This window comes from Homo sapiens, chromosome X, assembly GCF_000001405.40.
Source record: "Homo sapiens chromosome X, GRCh38.p14 Primary Assembly".
Classification (NCBI taxonomy): domain Eukaryota; kingdom Metazoa; phylum Chordata; class Mammalia; order Primates; family Hominidae; genus Homo; species Homo sapiens.
In genome coordinates, this window is record NC_000023.11 from 33,704,077 (window position 1) to 33,724,489 (window position 20,413).

Here is a 20,413-nt window from a genome sequence, read left to right on the forward strand (position 1 = left end):
CTTGAACTGGGCTCAAGTGATCTGCCCACCTTGGCCTCCCAAAGTGCTGGGATTACAGGCGTGAGCCACCATGCCCAGCCTCTTTTTTAACTTTTATTTTAAGTTCAGGGGCACAAGTATAGGTTTGTTACACAGATAAACTTGTGTCATGGGGGTTTGTTGTACAGATTATTTCATCACCCAGGTATTAAGACTAGTACCCGTTAGTTATTTTTCCTGATCCTCTCTCTCCTCCCACCTTCCACCCTCCACCCTCCAAAAGGCTACAGTGTGTGTTCTCCTCTATGTGTTCATGTGTTCTCATCATTTAGTGCCCACTTAAAAGTGAGAACATGCTAGTTTTCTGTTCCTGTGTTAGTCTGCAAAGGATAATGGCCTCCAGCTCCATCCATGTCCATGCAAAGGGCATAATCTCATTCTTTTTCATGGCTGCGTAGTATTCCATGGTGTATATGTACCACGTTTTCTTTATCCAATCTATCATTGATGGACATTTAGATTGATTCTATGTCTTTGCTATTGTGAATAGTGCTTCAAAAAACATACACGTGCATGTGTCTTTATAACAGAATGATTGAAAGAAAGTGCGGCGATTCCCCAAAGACCTAAAGACAAGTGCATTTCGACCCAGCAATCCCATTACTGGGTATATACCCAAATAAATACTTGACAATGTTTGATGTCTAGATATGTACACATTTTCTCCTCATAATTATCAAATTCCCATTTCTCAATTACTATGATTTTGTATATCTAATTTTGCTCTTATCAGCTTGAGAAAATCTTATCTGCCTTTCTATTCAAGAGATTCAAAACTATTTGATATTTTTCCAACATATGGAAATATGGCCATCTATAACCACTGATGTCATTTCATCTTCAATGTGAGAAGTAATGAGTGGCAATTTGCTCATAGAGCTTTAATCTGAAGACCAAAATTTACTTAGACTGATGCAGAGGTGGCACAAAAACAACTGTCTGCAGTAAACTGAATGTATTAAATACTTCCTAAGCCACTATTCTCTGACCAAAGCATCTCTGTAAATTTCCTCATAAGTGGGACATAAAGCAGCTATAGAAAGCTTTAATTCTAAGGTTTTCTGTTTGAAGTAACAAAAACACAAAACATATAATGGAACAATTCCTTACACTAATGTTTAGCTGTACAAAAGTACAAATGGCAAGCCACCAGGTAAGCAAAGATCTGATTTTATCAAAATAAAGTTGAAATGGTAGTGTTCAGTTACAAGAAACCTACTTTCCTAATGCCACACCTAGATGCATGGTCTGAAAATAGAAATGAAGATTTTAAATTTAATTTATCCCAGAAAATTTGGGAAGTATAATTACCCTATCTGTAGCTACAAAGCAGGCTCATAGACAGTTTCCCAAATAACATGTAATTTTTAATAGTGAAAATTTCAACAAGTCTAGAAAGTAGAAAGGGACCTGAAATAAACAAAGATAGATACACAGAACTCCTAGGTTTAGGTAGTTTTCTTATCATGAGCTCCAGATGTCTTCATTCTTAGTCCTGGGACTCGCTCATCTTTTTGTGCTATCGCATCAGGATAAAGATGGGGAACAAATTAACAGAGAAAAGAAGCACCAGTGTAATGGCTCTGCAGCCAGATAATGCAGAGATAGCAAGTCATGTTCACAGTGCAAAAGGACAAGCATTTTCTAAAATAGGAATTCTAATCCCACTGGGTTTCTCTGTGTGTGAATTTAACCTTTAGAATTAGAATTTTTGAACCCCTGGAAATGAACTAATGCTTTGTGTAAACTACATAAAACAGATGGAAGTGTGTTCCAGGCAGCACATTTAAATATAAAGACCATTTCTGTACCTGCAAAAACTGCTGCGCTGCCTCAAAGGATAAATCCAAGTTTAACATCGCAAGTGAAGCTAGCCCACAGCACAGCTCAAATTCAGAGAAGACAAGTACTGTGATTCCTAAACATTTACATTATCACAGAAACAAGAAGTATACACTTGGTCTAACATAAGGACTAGTTTGTTTTTTTCCTAAAAGTGTTAAACTGGACCTTCATTGTGCTTCAAACATACTTTTCACTTGTTTAATCTCTAGGTTAATTACAGATTTTTTGCAGTTTTCAGTACTGATGATTAGCAATAGAAAAATAGGTAGCTACTTCAAAAACTATTTGAGTTCAATAATTTTCATTTATTTTTGTTTTAAAAGATAAATATTTGATAGCTAAAAAATAATGCTTTATTATGTCATAATCATAATTTAAAATGTATATTTAATGCTATTTCCTAAAGAGAGGGGCATTAATGTTAAAACAAAGTTAGTAGCTATCTACATAATGTACCTGAAAATTCACGTCTCGTTAACTACCAGACCTGTTAGAATTGTGCTAACTGTAATTACAGTGAGAACTTGACTGGAGATAAGCTAGCAGCAAAAGGCAGAATAAAATTATAGAGGAACAGAGTTAAAATTCAGTTTGTTTTCCTCATAGAAAGATAATATTCAATTAATGATGGAAATTGGGCCTGTGTTAATCACGGCATTGTATAAATCCCCCAAATCACAACATTAAAACCTAAGCTCAAGAAAGGGGTAAGAAAGTGAAAGAACACAAGGTATCTTAGGTGGCAGGAGATGAGACATCTCTGTTCTCATAATAAATCCTAAATGGCACCCTGAGATAAATACATTACCTCTCTCTGGACAACATGGACTACGTACTGACATGCAAGGGAACTAGAAGGTGACATTTTTTGCAGCTACACACGTGTGTTATTTTGATTTTCTTTATACATTTACAAAAAAAATCTATTTCTAATACACACATTTCTGTATCTTAAAAGGTATAAGATGGTAGACATTCAAAGTTTATTTTCCAAGTATTTTTAAAGCTAAGCTTATACCTAAAGTTAGAAATGTCTCCATTTTCCTGCTGAGTCACACAGTGCAAAGACTAGCCTTTTGCCAGGTTTATTGAAGCATTTTAAATAATTATGGAAGATTTTCTTTCATCTAAAAATTACAACTCATTATCTGTTTTCCCTCAGTACTTAATCGCAACCTGTAGTACTAATTTTAACCCCTCATATTATTTTAATAAAACCCAACCACAAATTTTAGTGTAAGAGGTGTATAGATTTTTTTAATGAAAACACCTGATGACAGTCTCGTCTCTACTTCATTAGATTCACAAAGATCTATAACTCCAAAAGTTTAACAAAAAGAGGCAAGTAAATATCAGAAAAAAGTATCTATTTCAATCTTTTTAAGTTAATGACTTTGTGTTTAATGTCACAATTTTATATACCAAAGACTAACACCGTATTAAACTAAAAACAGGTGTCATAGGCTATGTAGTGTACGTGTGAAAAGATGTCACATGATCTGGCAAATACCACCTTGCTCCCTCTGTCTGCCACACCATTTTTGTGAGTTGCTGCTGGCTGAAGGTTTCCAAAATCCCAACAGAAATTAGTATTTGATATCTGAGAATTGGAAATCAGAATTCCCAGGAATGTTCATAAATTTCTAAAATCCTAAGTTACTCCTAACATACTCCCAATGTTCTACATTATTATTACTAAAAATAAGTTACTCCTAACATGCTTCCAATATTCTACATTATTTTTACATATTGGTAGGGATATATACAAACTATGATTAATACATTTTAAAAAATTAAGTTTACAAGGAAACATAGCTGATAGGAAATGTTAAAACATTGAACATGTTAGTGAGTAGTATTGGATAGGATTTGATTAGCTAATATTCAGACTTCCTGGCAATATTAGTGTCAAAATCACTACACAGAATCATGGATTGAAATCACCAATTTGAGAATTTTTTAGTTCCCAAACTTACTATTTCTGGGAACATCACTTATAGGATTTTAATCAAGTATACTATGCATATAAATTATTAATGCTTATTTTATTGGCTGGAATGATGCATTGTCAATAGCAGACATTCAAAAACACACTTTTAAAACATGACAATAACTGAAAGTAAGATTGAATGATTACGTTGTCACCATTCTTCTATATATATTCTGAACTTGGTTCCCAGTAATGTCAACCTTGATTTTTGACTGACTTGGAGTCTGTGCTTCCTGATTTTGCTTAATTTCCACTTGACTTTGGTGGATTCTGAAGTTTCAAACTTGTAATGTTTTTCTGTTCACTTCTAAGCTGCAGTTCTCTCATGGGGATAATAGTACATTATTCCTGTGTTCTAAAGCTCCTGATTGATCTTTCTCATTATTCCAGACTCAGAAAAAAATGTATATTTCTGAAGAAATGTTAGGAAGCAATTCCCACATGGAAACACCACTGAAAATTACTTGTGAGTTATTGAAGAACACGTGTGTAGGTTATTCACCACATTAGAGGGTTTAAGGCCAGCCCTGAAGATGAACTTTCAATCACAGGATTCAATCATAACTCGGCCTTACCTCCATTACAGAGAAGAAGTATTTAGAAGAAAGGAGGTTACCATTTGAAACTAAATATTTGTTTATATTAGGTTTCATTTTCAATATTAGTTTTAATTTCTTAATACATAATCCATATTTCTTTGAAAATTGAAACTCTGTGTAGATAATAGGATAAAATAGTATTGCAGCACTTATAACCTCACTACCTATAGATTGCTCACAATTACTTCCAGGCAATCCCTCTCATGTGTACACTTGATGTTGTACTATTTATGCACACATGCAATATGTTATGCATGTTGATTCATCAGCAATTTTGTCAATAAATTTATAGAATATATCAATTGTTTTTATGATTGTATTATATTCTATTGCGTAGACAACACTATTACTTATTGCTGTATATTTACATGTTTTCTAATTCATCATTATAGAAATCTTCAAGAAACCTTCTTGGGCCTGCCACCTTTTGTATTTTGCAAACTGCTTTTCAATATTTTCTGGCCTTGCAATAAAATACAATTTATGTAAGCATTTTTAACATAATAAAACTGTAATGTTTAATAATTTCTTGATTTGTATTCCTGCCCTAGTTATGCTTGTTTATTGTTCCTCATATCAAATGCATCACTTTTTTGTGGTGAGGGTTTATTTTAAATTTGACAATTTATGTATAAATAATAAAAAATCATGTTTGATGGAAAGCTGGATCACTTTACTCTTTTAATGTCAATTTACTTAATATAGATTTAAGAAATGTGGATTCTTAATATGGATTAATAAATGTAAATATTTTACATCATACTATATTTAGCAACTAAGGTTAATATCTAAAAATGATGAAATTTAAATAGTGATAATTCTATTTCTGGGTGCTAACTTCATCCTATCGCTTTAGCATACATTATTGCAGAACTGTATGATATACAAGAATAACTTCATTTTTTGACAAAAGACAGAGGGCCATATTTGTATGAAACAACACAAACCGTAAATTACCATATTTATTTAGGCATCTGGTGCCAATGAAAGTTATTTATAACTATAGATTAATCAGTAATAACATTTTTAAGATGCCTGAGCATATGTTTAATAACTCAGGTCTGGGCTGTCATGAAACTTTTATTGCCTATAAGAAATGCTAGTAGTTTTCCAGGATATAAACTTTTGCTTCCTAGAGAGTAGAGCACATTATGAACATGTTTTTAATAGGACTTCATTTTCTGATGATGGCAATAATACAGATGTGCACTCTCACTTTTTCTGCCCTAGGCCAGACACCTTTGGATATTACAGATGTTTTATTTTAGAAAATTTTTCAACTGACTTTAAAAGTAGATTATACCTAATTAAAATGCAGATCTTCTACTATTTAAAAAATTTAAAAATAATGGTGCATAATGGAACAAATAAATGCTTTGTGAGGTAGGAACGGAAAGAACTGAAAAGGAGGCAGTTTAATAAACCCCTATGGAGAGTGATGTGGATCCTATATACAGGGCCCCTAGATGATAAGAACTTTCCAATCTAGGGAGCATTCAATAAGAAAATGCTTTTAGGAGGCAAGTGTTGATTCTAGGTCAATGAGGAAATATAAACGGGAATAAACGTGTTCATCACAATATTATATCATCCAAGTTTACCATTTCATCTATGTCATAATAATGATGGATCTGACAGCCAAGTATATAAGGGATAGATCTAGTACAGAAGATTAAATTTTTAGTGAAGTCTTCTTATTGTAATTTTTCCCAGGCCTAAAGTTAGTTTATTTCAGAACACATAACTGATATATTTTACTTTGGTTTTTAAGTGTTACAGGTTGTGTTCACTGGGAATCCAACTATGATATAAAGTTTAGAATGTTTATTAAGGAGTTCCCTGGGGCTCAACACTTCTAGAGAGAAGAGGAAAGAAGTAGGAGTGGACACAGAAAAGTCAACTGAACCTTTAGCCCAACAGCAGCTTCTGCCAACCCTATGAGAAGCTCTGGAGCTAGAATTGCCCTACAGAATAGACTAAAATTTAACTGAGATAAAATGGCCTTTATATGCCCTCATAGATAAGTTCCTGTATGAGGTCAACCCAAGAAAGTCCCATGACCCAGGGCATTTCTCTTCAACTGAGGCGGTCCTCAAAAGGGCTAACAACCAAAGTCTGTCTACCAACAGTACTTCCATCAGTTTGGGTAAAATGTCCTTCTATGAACAGAAATCTGGGCAGTGCATCACAGCATCTACCATATTTAGTTTATTTTGCTCAAAACAGAACATGTTTCTAAATCATGGTTAGCATTTTTTTTCTCAGAATGACTTCAAAATAATGATAGATGAAACCCATTCATAGTTTTCTGACTACACTCTATATGGTTGCCAGAAGTTTTTAATCTATTACTGATGTTTCTGAAAGAATGTTGAATACCATGTAAAAAGTGGGTTTTTTTTTTTTTAGTATGCACTCTTTACAGTAAAACACTTTGGACTATACCCCTAAAATTGGGGAGATATATATATATCTATATATATCTTATACATATTAATATAACATACATTTATATGGCTTATATATATAGCTTATGTATTTATATATTGTATATAACATGTGTATCAGCATATTTATATTTTACAAACCTTATTAGTCAAAAAGGTAAGAGTTTTTTAAGTGGCGTAATTAAAGAAAAATGAAATTTCTGTTTTTTTTCCTATGGCACAAATACTACTTTTGAAAATCAGCAATCTGGGTCCTGCCTTGCTTCCAAAAACTACCTTTGAAACTAATACAAGAAGACCAGCCTTTTAAGATAGCTCAGGAATACAATACTTCATCTTAAATAAACAACTTTCAAAAAAAAATCAGAGCTTGATCTGTATCCTATTTCACTGTTAGTTACACGATGCTATACCTTGTGCTTTGCCATACTGACATTTCTCATTTTTTATCATAAAGCCTTGCATGAATATTCATTTTTTCTAGCTTCTGCACAGAAAAAGAATAATCAGAGTAAACAGACAACCCACAGAAGAGAAAATATTTGCAAACTATGCATCCAACAAAGGACTAATATCTAGAATCTACAAGGAACTCAAACAAATCAGCAAGCAAAACAAAAACAAATAATCCCATCAAACAGTTGGCAAATGACATGAATTGACATTTCTTAAAAGAAGATATACAAATGGCCATCAAACATATGAAAAAATGCTCAACATCACTAATCACCAAGAAAATGTAAATTACAACCACACTGAGATACAACCTTACCCCAGCCAGAATGGCCATTATTAAAAATTCAAAAAGCAACAGATGTTAACATGGTTGTGGTGAAGAGGGAACACTTTTACACTGCTGGTGGGAATGTAAATTAGGACAACCTCTATGGAAAACAGTATAGAGATTTATTAAAGAACTGTATCTACCACTTGATCAATAAATACCATTACTGAGTGTCTATGCAAAGGAAAATAAGTCACTATATCAAAAAGACACTTGCAAATATGACACCTGAAGATATATTTATCACTGTGCAATTCACAATTGAAATATATGAAACCAAATTAAGTGCCCATCAACTGATGAATGGATAAGGAAAATGTGGTATATACATCCTATGGAATACTACTCGCCCATAAAAAGAAGTAATAATGTCTCTTACAGCAAGTTTGATGGAACTAGAGGCCGTTGTTCTAAGGGAAGTAACTCAGAAATGAAAAACCAAATACCATATGTTCTTACTTACATGTGGGAGCTATGCTATGAATATGCAAAGGCACATAGAGTGGTATAATGGGCACTGGATACTGAGAAGGGAAAGGGTAGGAAGAAGGTGAGGGATAAAAACCTGTATATTTGGTACAGTGTACATTACTTGGGTGACAAGTGCACTAAAATCTCACACTTCATCACGATATAATTAATCTGTGTAACCAGAAACCATTTATACCCCTAAAGCTATTAAAATCAAAAAGTGTTTCTTTCTATTTTCATCATCTTTGCCCACATCCATCATACTCAGGTTCCCAAACATTATGCTTCCTTTTTAGTCACAAACTCATTTGGAGAAAAACAAGCAACTGGATTAAAAAAATAGGCAAAAGACTTGAATAGACATTTCTCCAAAGACAACATACAAATGGCCAATAGGTATATAGATGCTCAACATCACAAATTATCAGGAAAATGCAAATCAAAACCACAATGAGATATCACTTTATTTTTGTTAGGATGGCTATTATCACACACAAGAACAAATAAGTGGTGGAAAAGGTGTGGAGAAATTAGAAATTTGAACCCTTATACACAGTTGATGAGAATGCTATATGGTACAGCCACTGGGAAAAACAGTATAGAGGTTCCTCAAAATATTAAAAATGATATTACCATATACTGCAGCAATCCCACTTCTGGGTATATATCCAAATAAATTGAGGTCAGGATCTTGAAGAGATGTTTGTACTCTCATGTTCATTGCAGCACTGTTCACAATAGACAAGATATGGAAGCAGTCCATATATATATATATATACACACACATATATATGTATATGCACATATGTACATATATGTATATATATATATAGAGAGAGAGACAGAGAGAGAGAGAGAGAATGGAATACTATTCAGCCTTTAAAAAGAAGGAAATTCTGCCATTTGTAACAACAACTTGAGGACATTATGCTAAATGAAATAAGCCAGTCTCAGATAGAGATTCCACTTATATGAGTGTTCTAAAATAGTTGTATTCACAAAAGCAGAGAATAGAATGGTGGTTGCCAGGAGCTAAGGGAAGGGGAAATGGGGAATTGTTTTTCAATTGATGTTAAGTTTCTGTTAGGCAAGATAACTTCTAGAGATCTGATGTACAAATGTATTACCTGTAGTTAACAATACGGTGTTATGCAGTTCAAAATATTAAAAGGATAGATTTCATGTTAGGTGCTCTTACTAAAAAAAAAAAACAAAAATATACCTTAGAAACACAAGGATATTTTTGGAGGTGATGTACATGTTTTGTACCTTGATTGTGGTGATGTTATCATGTGTGTATGCATATGTCCAAATTCATCAAGATTTAGACATTAAATGAGTCCAATATGGTATGTCAATTACACCTCAATAAATTTAAAACATTTTTTAAAGAAGAATGTTATAGTTCTGATGTTGGCTAAAATCAATCGGTTTGTTAACAGCAGCAACAAATTAGAACACAGACCTGCTAGGTCCCCAAATTTTTAGTTTGGAGGTACTTCGATAACATCATGTTGGAAATCCGTTTTACTAAGTTTGGTAAGAGGTGTGCTGTGAATGTTCAATAGGTGACTTATTAATTGCTGTTTAAAACCAGTAGTACTGAAGCCTTAGTGTAATCTTTGCTTTGATGTCATGCCATTCTACTCCTCTACATATGACCTCTGAAATCTTATTAAATAAAATTTTACTATGAGTCAAAAGTATACTTCAGCGGTATATTAATATAAGAGGATAATAAGTATGTAAAAAAATACAGAGAAAGAAAGGATGGGAAAACAAGAATATGAAAATATATTTCAGAAAATAAAATGAGAAAATACATGTTTTTTTCAAGTGATGTGATGTGGTGGAAACAGCACATCTTTGTGAGGAGGTGTTGGGAATAAGGAAGGAGACTTTGAAATTCCCTAGTTAGTTGGTATCACTGGGGATTAATCAGTCTATTCAGAATACCAACTCTCATTCCTAGATACAAGCATGTAAGAGTATGATCATGTGATGTAAGTGACAACTTGCTGTGCGCCCCCAGGTTTAAGTGAAAATAAAAGAAAACAAATCTTTGTTCATCCTTTTAAAAAAATCATAGACTTGATAGAGAAAAACTACTACAATTATAGTAAATTGCCAAGACTAAGGAAATACTCATTGAACGAACTTAGTGTCATTTAGGAAATGTTTAGTAATCAGTAATTATGATTTTCTCAAAATAATCTGGTTTAATTATAACTGAAAGTTTCTGTTACTTTTCTCCCATCTCCCATGGACATCTTGAACACAATTTCTTCATTGCTTTCAATGTAAACATTGCCTACTTTTATCAGAGACAGATAGTTGGAGAAAATAGCAAGAGAATACACTGGAGACAGTCATTTATTTTGGTAAAAAAAAAAAAATGATTACTAGTACCAAATAGTAGTTAGTTTCATTTAAGTTTTTGTTCTTAGAACAGAAAGAAGCAGTAAATAAAAGCATGATTTCTTCTGTATATTATAATACTCTGCATTATGTTTCTACATCTAATTAAAGTCCAAATCAAGATACAAATTTTAATTGCTTTATAACCTAATTTGTTCCAATTCCATCAATATTTTTAAAATATTGCCATTGTTTTGATTCAATGAGTATATTGTTTTGTGTCTAGAATTTTAATCCAAATCTTTAAGCAATATCTGTAATATTACCATTACTATGAACCAAATTTTAATTGACTTAAAAATGTTACAGAATATAATAGCTACTGTATTTGTTCCTTCTCATGCTGCCATGAAGAAATACCCAAGACTGGGTAATTTATAAAGAAAGGAAGTTTAATTGACTCACAGTTTCACATGGCTGGGGAGGCCTCAGGAAACTTAAAATCATGGCAGATGGCACCTCTTCAAAGGGTGGCAGGAGAGAGAATAAGTGCCAGCAGGGAAATGTCAGACACTCAAAAACCATCAGATCTCCTGAGAACTGACTATCATGAGAACAGTATGGGGAAACTGCCCCCATGATTTAATTACCTCCCACCGGGTCCCTCCCATGACATATGGGGATTATGGGCATTACAATTCAAGATGAGATTTGAGTGGGGACACAGCCAAACTATATGAGCTACTCTATTATGAAACATGTATTTCTATAAAATAAAAAAGTAAGCATTTTTCACATTTGGCTAGCTATAATTAATAATGTATTTTTCATGGAATTCATTTTAGAAATGTTCTTTATAAGAAATTTCCATTTGTGATTAAAAACCAGTCCATTCCCAGACCTATAGTGGCATGACCTCACTAATTAGTTATGCATAAATTTAAAAGAAAAAATGTATTTAGATGTTTAATGTTGGTTAATATATTAATAATTTAATGTAGTTTACATAATATGTAACTTAGGCCAAGCCAAATATTGTCAAGTCTGCTTCTTAATTTTAAAATAAACCTCTATTTAAAGTCATAATATATAGACAGGAAAACATATTTAATAAAATGATATCACAACATCAGGTAAGATATATTATCTGTTTTGTTTTTCACATTTGTAGGTAAGTTCTCGTATTCGTATTGCTAATAACTATCTGATTAAAATCTGTGTAATGATTACAATATTCTCTGGTTCAAATCACTTGACAAATATGGTTTCATGCCCCTATTGAGCACTCTTTTCTACAAGTCTGCCTCACGCACTACTGCGTCTACACCTTTCATTCAGTGTTTGTTGCAGTTACCCGCCTTTCTTCAGAAATACTGCAGAATTGAGGCTTATCCCATTTATTTTTTGTCTTTCTGATGCCACATGCCAATATTTGTATATTCCTTCTTATCCACTAAGTTTCATTTTTCACTGTCTTTTAGATCTACTTAAACATTTTATTCTGTATGTATCTCTAACCATCCAGTCACTATCTGTCTTTTAGAATAGAGAAGCAGATGTTCAACAAGATTTAAATGATTCACATGCTTAGGTAACCAAGTCAGAGTAGAAAAAAATACAGTTACAAGACATATTCTAGAAAAACATATTTTCATGGGTGGATGTGATATCTTTTCACCTCCTATCCTCCACCCAATACTTATTGTACGGTAGTTTTGAAGAATCTGTGGACATAGGTAGCCCTTTTTGGACACCACCTTTTTAATTCCAATATGCCTCCCATACCTGATTGAAGAAACTATTATCAAAGAATATTTAATAAAGTGATAATATGTTCATATTACATCAATGTATAATCAATTTATTATTATTATTATTATTTTGAGACAGGGTCTTGCTCTGTCACCCAGGTTATAATAATCAATTTATAAAGTAGTATGCATAGTATGTTTATATTAACATGTATTTATTATTATACTTATATATCATATACTACATATGAATAAAAATCACTTTTATCCTGTTTATACAAAATACATATAGGTATTATTAATGTGTTATATCTTATGTTTTCATACATATGTGCATGTGTGTATGTGTAAATATATATGTGCAAATATATATGTGCATACACCCACATCTCACAATGTTAATGGTTTAGATTATGGTTATTTATCTGAGATGTTTAGTTACATTATGTCAATTTTTATAGAATATGCTATACAAACAATTACAAAAACTGTATGCCATCAAGAATAATCTGAATGACCATCTTAAAACTGGGTTGACTGTCTTTGGTTACTATCGTCTGTTAGGAAAGAAATGATTGAGCAGTGTGGAAGGGAAGGGTATTTCAAATAGGGTAGGTAAATCAGCTGGAATAACCCAATAGATTAATGGGTTGATATATTCTAATTAATATAATTTCTATTTTCCAAATTGAGTCCTATGAAACACTAATCCACAAAATATTTCTGAACAAAAAGACTCCATGCTAAAATAAATTTGGTGAACTCTAGTCTTCTCTTGAAGTTTCTTTTATGCTCTTTAGTATAATAAATTTTCTCAGGAATTATGCATAAAAGAAATTTATTAACTATGTTTAACTCATGTGTCCCAAACTTATTTAATCATTAAATAGTATTAACAGCCCATGGAATAAATAAATGTTCTATGAAGTACAAGCTAAGGAATTATGTTCACATGTAACAGTAGAGGACAATTTAATAAAGAATTTAAAGAGAGAGTTTTGACATTGTGGTGGATAGTAAAATACTAGTTGAAATCAAGTAATTATAGCAGGTGATATTTCTTTTGAGGAATTTAGGAGTTATTAAAAATATATTCTATATTCATCTAAATTTGTTGCTAAGGATGTTTTGGGGGGTCTTAGGCCCAGGGGATGTGGGGAAGGGAAGGCTGCTACACTGCTAAGCAGAGCAGAATGTGAAGAGAAAACACTTGTTATGGCAAACAGCATAACTGAGAACCTGGGACACCTGTAATATCACATGTTCATCTGTGATATCAAACACCCTCCTACATACCCCATATAAAATGAGTCAGGCTCCATTTAATGAAATAGTAATTTAAAAGAAAAAGATGAACAAAAGCCACATAGAACTTATGATAAAGTTCCAGTTAACAAGTACTCCTGTCTGTGGACAGATAGAGGTTAAGCCAGAAAGGATGAAGGTACAAAACAATTTTTTATTTTATATAAATATATATACATATATATATTTTATTATACTTTAAGTTCCAGGGTACATGTGCACAACGTGCAGGTTTGTTACATATGTATACATGTGCCATGTTGGTGTGCTGCACCCATTAACTCATCATTTACATTAGGTATATCTCCTAAAGCTATCCCTCCCCCGTCCCCCCACCCCAATATTTTATTTTATTATATTATTTTTCTCTCAACTTTTATTTTCGGTTCAGGGAGTACATGTGCAGGTTTTGTTGCATGGGTAAATTTTGTGTCACTGAGGTTTGTTGTACGAATGTTCCTATCACCCAGGTAGTGAACATAGTACACGACAGGTAGTTTTTCAACTCATACCCCTTCACACTCTTCCCCCTACCAAGGAGTCCCCAGTATCTATTGCTTTTCTCTTTGTATGTATTATTGTTGTAAGACTATATACTAAAAGGAACTCCATCTCCAAAAGCTCTGAAATGCCTTATATCATTCGTTGTTTCCTAGACCAAAGAACTATTCACTCCTTCATATTTTCACTAACCAGTGATTGCTCACTAATTCCTTCCTAACTTTTATATCAGAACAGTGTTTCTCAAAGTGTGGTCCTTAGACCAGCAGGATCAGCTACACTTAAGAATCTGTGAGAACTGCAACTTCTCAGGATCTACCCTACGACGACTAGACAAGAAACTCTGAGGGCATGGGACAGTAGCCTGCATTTTTAACAAGCCCTCCAGAGAATTCTGATGCGCACTCAAATTTGAGAATCTACTGCAGTAGAAGAATACAATTGATGCCTGCCTAGGATGTTTCTAATAATGATATCAGCCAGTCCTTGTATCAAATCACAAATCTAATTTTAAATAAGCCAAATTTTTTAAACATAGCATTTATGTTATAAAGTACGAGCAGCCCAAAATTTGTACAGGATTTATCTGAAAATGGAATTGAAAGTTGGCATAATAAAACTTGGTACATATTTCCTCATGGGCCTAATGCAACGAAATTGTGGCAAGAGAAACCATTCCAAAGAAGTCTATTTATACTGTACTTTAATTGTACTACAGTATTGATAGCATTAACTTGAATTCTGAGATGAGTGACAATCAGGTTCAAGAGAGAAATGGAAAGGATAGGAAAGTAAAGAAGGAAAAAAATAAATAGGAGAGAGGAGAAATGGTTACCCCCCCTTATTTGGTATAGTGATAACTACAGGTATAATGCAAAAAAAAAATCAGTTTTCTTTGACTCCATTGTAACTACCTACCTATATCAATATTCCAACTTTTAGCTGGCCTCATTTTCAGTAGAGCTGTTCTCCCTCCATAATTCTTACATCATAATATTAGAGTGTGTATATTCTGCTTCTAAGCTTTGAAACTGGTGAAAAAAATATGCCTTCTGGGTTCAAGGAGGAAATATGAGTTAAGCAATATAACAGGGAGTAGTGGTATATATTGCTCCAATCTACTAAAGAGTACTGGGGTTCTAAAGAATTAGAAGTGCATGCTCTAATGAATCCTTTCTTGACACTCTCCATGCTAAACAAATCACATACATCCCTGGAATTAATTTTCCCTGTTATTTGCCAGTTTGTGAGTGCAACATCTAAAAGCTCTTCTCTTCCACGTGCCCCCAACCAAAATTCCAATTTGGGTGATGCAGGTTATCTTACATGATTTCTAGAGAAAATGCAACTAAAGTTAATTACTTCACATTTAACTATGAATGACTAAGAAGACTACTAACTGTCTGGCAAGTTTAGGCAGCTACTCCTGATTTTCAGGTTATTCCCTGCTCTTCTTCTAACCATCAGGTCTTCTTACCTCTGAATTTTATCACAATAGATACAGTAGACATTGGGTGGTATTTTCAGAGTCTAGAAGAAGGACATAAACAATCTCTGTAAGTATAAATAATAGAAAGTTTGTAAGTTTTGAGAACTGCCAATGATTCTTCACATAATATAATCATGGAAAAGACAGGAATCTTCAATCATCACCACAGAGCAAACAACCAAGGAAGGTTCCTGTGATGATTCAAAACCAGATTTCACAGCTTCTCAAAACTGGCTGCTCATTAGGATTCTTGGTGGATTCTCCGTAGCCAGGTGCCACCCTCCAGTCAAAATAAATGAGAGGCTCTGTAGGAGGGGCCCAGGTATTCATATATTCTTAAAAATTTCCCTGTGTAGCTGTAATTCTCAGGATAGAAAACTATTGCCAGAGCATCAGAGTTACTCCAGCCTCCAAATCCAGTCATGCACAAAAGCAAATTCCTCCTTGTAATTCTTCTGAAGGGGTTGGCAAATATTTCTTTAACTTAGAATATGACACCTTAGATATCCCATGACATCCCCACCAGGCCAAATCTACTATCTGCCATTTTGTTCTTGGATTAAAATTCAGTCCCCCTTTAATCTTCAGCAAACTCATACTATGGATTTAATCTGTGTTACTATTTGCTTTGATTCAAAATTTCTTTAATTACATTCATGTCAAATTATTACATTTGAAATATATTCAATCCACAAAATAATATGTGGTTTCTTTTACTGTTTTCTATTCATTTGTGATGGTTTGACAAGGGAAAGATAATTCCATAGGACATGTACATGATGATAATAGACTTTTCTACTTTATATAATAAAATTTGGAATGAATAGCTCATCTTCAGTACCTCAAACGATGTTACAAGAAGGGACAGTAGGAACAGGACAGTTTGAAGGAGGGGCAGGGTAGATGAGGGCATTTTACATTAAAATAGGCTACTCAAGTGGACCAGTTTTCAGTTACTATAGTCACAGGACATAACCCAAAGGTGTTTATAAGTGTTCCTCCCAATGAACTTTATTAGATTAAAATATAGCCATTAAATATTCCACAGAAATGCACGTCCTATACTTGTCTTTGGGTAGTCCTATAGTTGTGGTCATTTGTCATAGTTAAATTATGCCCATTCTCAAAATAGCACATCAGTTCCAAGGGATTATAAAGGTCAGCTTTTACTAGCATGACAGAAATCAAAGGGTGATTTCATGTTCCTTAACTAGGGACAAAAGGTCACAACTATTAAATCTTTAAATCCATGTGCTGTGATGGGCTTTATCTGTTAAAGGAAAAAGAAGAATTCATGATATAAGCTTAATCTAATTTATGACTGTATAATCAGGAACAACTTAGGTGTTTAAGAGGTACTATATTCTTTACTATAACACAAGGCTCAATAGTTAAGAAGCAACAAAGTAAACAAATTTGGATGACTGGCTATACTAACACCATTTCAATTTCCTAAATTATCTTGTCCTTCACAGAAATTCATACAGAGACTGTAAGAAGTAAATATTCACAATCTCAGCATCTCTTACAGCTAAGGATGGCCACATAGCATAGCAGTTCTTGCCATGAGACATAGGCAGCAGTCTGCTGAAGGGAGTCTGAAAGAGATACAATTGGTGGTTTCTTCTCCTTTCTTCAGGCCTCAAATAGTAGCTGAACGGTGGCTGTCAGCTTGTAATCAGAAAGAAAAGGCAAAGAGAATCATCAAGACACCAGTCCTGATAGCACTGAAATGTCACACCAATGCCAGAAAAGGCCTGCCTCTAGATTTCTTGTTACGTAAAATTTATTGAGGACATAGTTAGTTGGTTATTCTTTTACTTGTAGTAAAATGCATACCTAACTTAAATCCAGCCTCAACAAAACAGTTTTTATTCCAAATTTATATTTTTCCCATCATTAATAGTTCCAGTATTGGAAATATTTGCCATACTTAACAAATAAATATTTAATAACTATCTCTCGAAAAAGAAAAAAAAAACTCCTTATCAGTAATATTGGCCAACTTTTATGTTATAAATAACCCTACTGTATTAGTCCATTCTCACGCTGCTATAAAGAAATACCTGAGACTAGATAATTTATAAGAAAAGAGGTTTAATTGAATCACAGCTCCACATGGTTGGGGAGGCCTCAGGAAACTCACTATCATGGCAGAAGGCACCTCTTCACAGGGAGGCATGAGAGAGAATGAGTGCTGAGCAAACGGGGAAGCCCCTTATGAAACCATCAGATCTTGTGAGAACTCACTTAGTATCAGGAGAACAGCATGGGGGAAACCACCCCCATGATTCAATTATCTCAACCTGTTCCCATCCTTGACATGTGGGGTTTATTACAATTCAAGGTGAGATTTGGCTGGGGACACAGAGCCAAACCATGTCACCCACCATGATAATTTTAAAATACCAATATGATGTCACTGAATGCAGAGTTAGGAAAAGATTCACACCATTGAATCTCATGAGTCAATTCCAAACAGCCTCAGCACACCACTAGATAGTCCCCTAATTACTAACTACAGTTTCACGAAACTATTAGAGTTCATTGTTTTTACTTTCAATTTCATTGTAACAGAGAACAGAGTTTATATAGACAGGAACTTAGAGCTCAGAATTATTGACTGTCAAGATAAATTGGCTACATTTATTAAATTGAAAGTAGCTATCATAATTTATGTAAAACTTTCAGTAGGAACTTAGAAGTTGTCCTGTCTCAAGCCAAATGCACTCATTAACTCAATACGCATAATTTCCAAATGTCTCCTCGTAGGAAAGAATATAATCTAATTCACTCTCATATCAGATAAAATTTAATACATAGATTTGAAAACAATGTGGTTATAACGTTAAATAACTTGCATGGAAAAATGTTTTAGCTCTCACAAATATCCGTAACTCTATCTGTGATCGGGAATGAGAATGCACGATTCTCTAGTCTTCTAACTAATCTTGCAATAGGACTGCTCTCATACCCAATTACCTAATGAGAGTGAAACTTACAATATAGTACAAAATACTTTAGTAGTTATTATCTATGAAAAGTATTACCTACAACTTCCCTAGTAAAGTCTCTGTGCAGAAGAATTCTCACATATTCACGCAAAGCGAAATCTTAACACTGAAGATTTTTGTTTGTTTTTGTTTTTACTCACCAAAGCAGGTCTTCTACAAACATAAACAATGAATTACCTGCTTTTTTGGGATGATACGAGAATATAATTTTCCTGGGATGGATAAGTACAGGCTTCATTACCAAAGTGACTACAGATATTGAATGGCCTAGTAAGAAAATATTTTCAAATGTAATAGTGTGCAGTTCTGAAAAGAACATGCCTTTCAAAATGTCTCTGATTTCTCGCTCACATTTTCCCTTGTAAAATCCCCAGTAGCTTTGTCAAATTTGACGTTTGTATTATTCTGAGAGTATCTAATTGTTAGTGGTATAGTACTATAAGGTTACAATTTAAGAGCATTAGCTCAAACTGAAAAAATAAGTTCAATTACATTATATTCTTGTTTTAAGTAAGGATAGGTAAAATACTAAAGGTATAAATCTAATGTGTTTCAAAATAGTTATTTTGTCTACCATTTATATATTACTCTTTGTAATGAGCTCTTTATAATCATGATGTATGGATAAAATAAAATCTATCTACCTACCTTTGGATATAGCAATCTTTTATAGTTGGGATTTGTAATAAAATATGAATTATATCAATGTGAAATTGGTCACCAGAAAGATCTTTTTATAGTAGACCTCAAGATCAGATCAAAGATAATCTTTATTCCTTTTTTTTAAAGATAAAAACTACTTAGCTGATTTTCTTCTGAAAAAAAAATCTGAGTTTATTTCAAAAAACCTTTCATGACACAAACCCATAGGTACATTTTATTCAATTATTCATGTATTATCCTATGCCAGTAAAAGATCTAAAGATGTAGCAAGATGCTAAATGATTACAAACCACAAAAATGTCATAAGAGAAATCAGGGCTAATTAAATTTACAACTGATTTTAAAAGATTAACAGCATGGAGCTGTATATGTTACACTGGGATATTTCTAATTACAGGAAAGCATCCAAATCAATAGATCAAATACCCATATTTGCTGTTTCCAAGCAAGAAAAGACAATTGCAAATTCATTGTCTTGAAATGCTTTTAAACACTGAGATTTTACCCTTAGGTTAACTGTAGTTTATGTCTGAAAGTGTAAAAGTTCTGTTTCTGTTTCAGGTTATTCATTTTGTAATAAACAATTTTCTCCCAAAGCACAGGGCTTCCCATGGGTAGTACTCACATTATGATTGTTGAAGTCACGTACATCAACCATAATCAGTCAAAAGCATTGTTCCTTGAGGAAATGAATTAAGAGTATGCAGTTGTGACGGGAGAAAAAATAATTGTCAAAGTTTCACATTGCTATGACTCCTCATCAAATGATGAGCTGAGACTAATGTATAAAATCAATCTAATGAAGCACAAACTTGTATTATCAATGTACATTATAATCATCTCTGTCTTCAATTTTAAAAAATTCTGATTACAACGTAAAAAAATCTTCAATAGCGCTACAAAAATATGTTTAAACACCTTACATAAAATTTATTTTTATATCCCTCGAGGCATTGTTACAACACGCTCTTGTTGTCTAAATTTCCCCTGACATTTAACTAGGTCTAGACACAATCTAAACAAATTTTTAAGTGTGCTTTTTCTGGTATTACTGTTTGCCCCACCACATTATATTTTTGCTGTGCACAACAAGTGGCTACAAAAGAAAAAAAATCTTTAGTAATAGTAGCCACCCTTTAACTTTAGAATTAACAAAA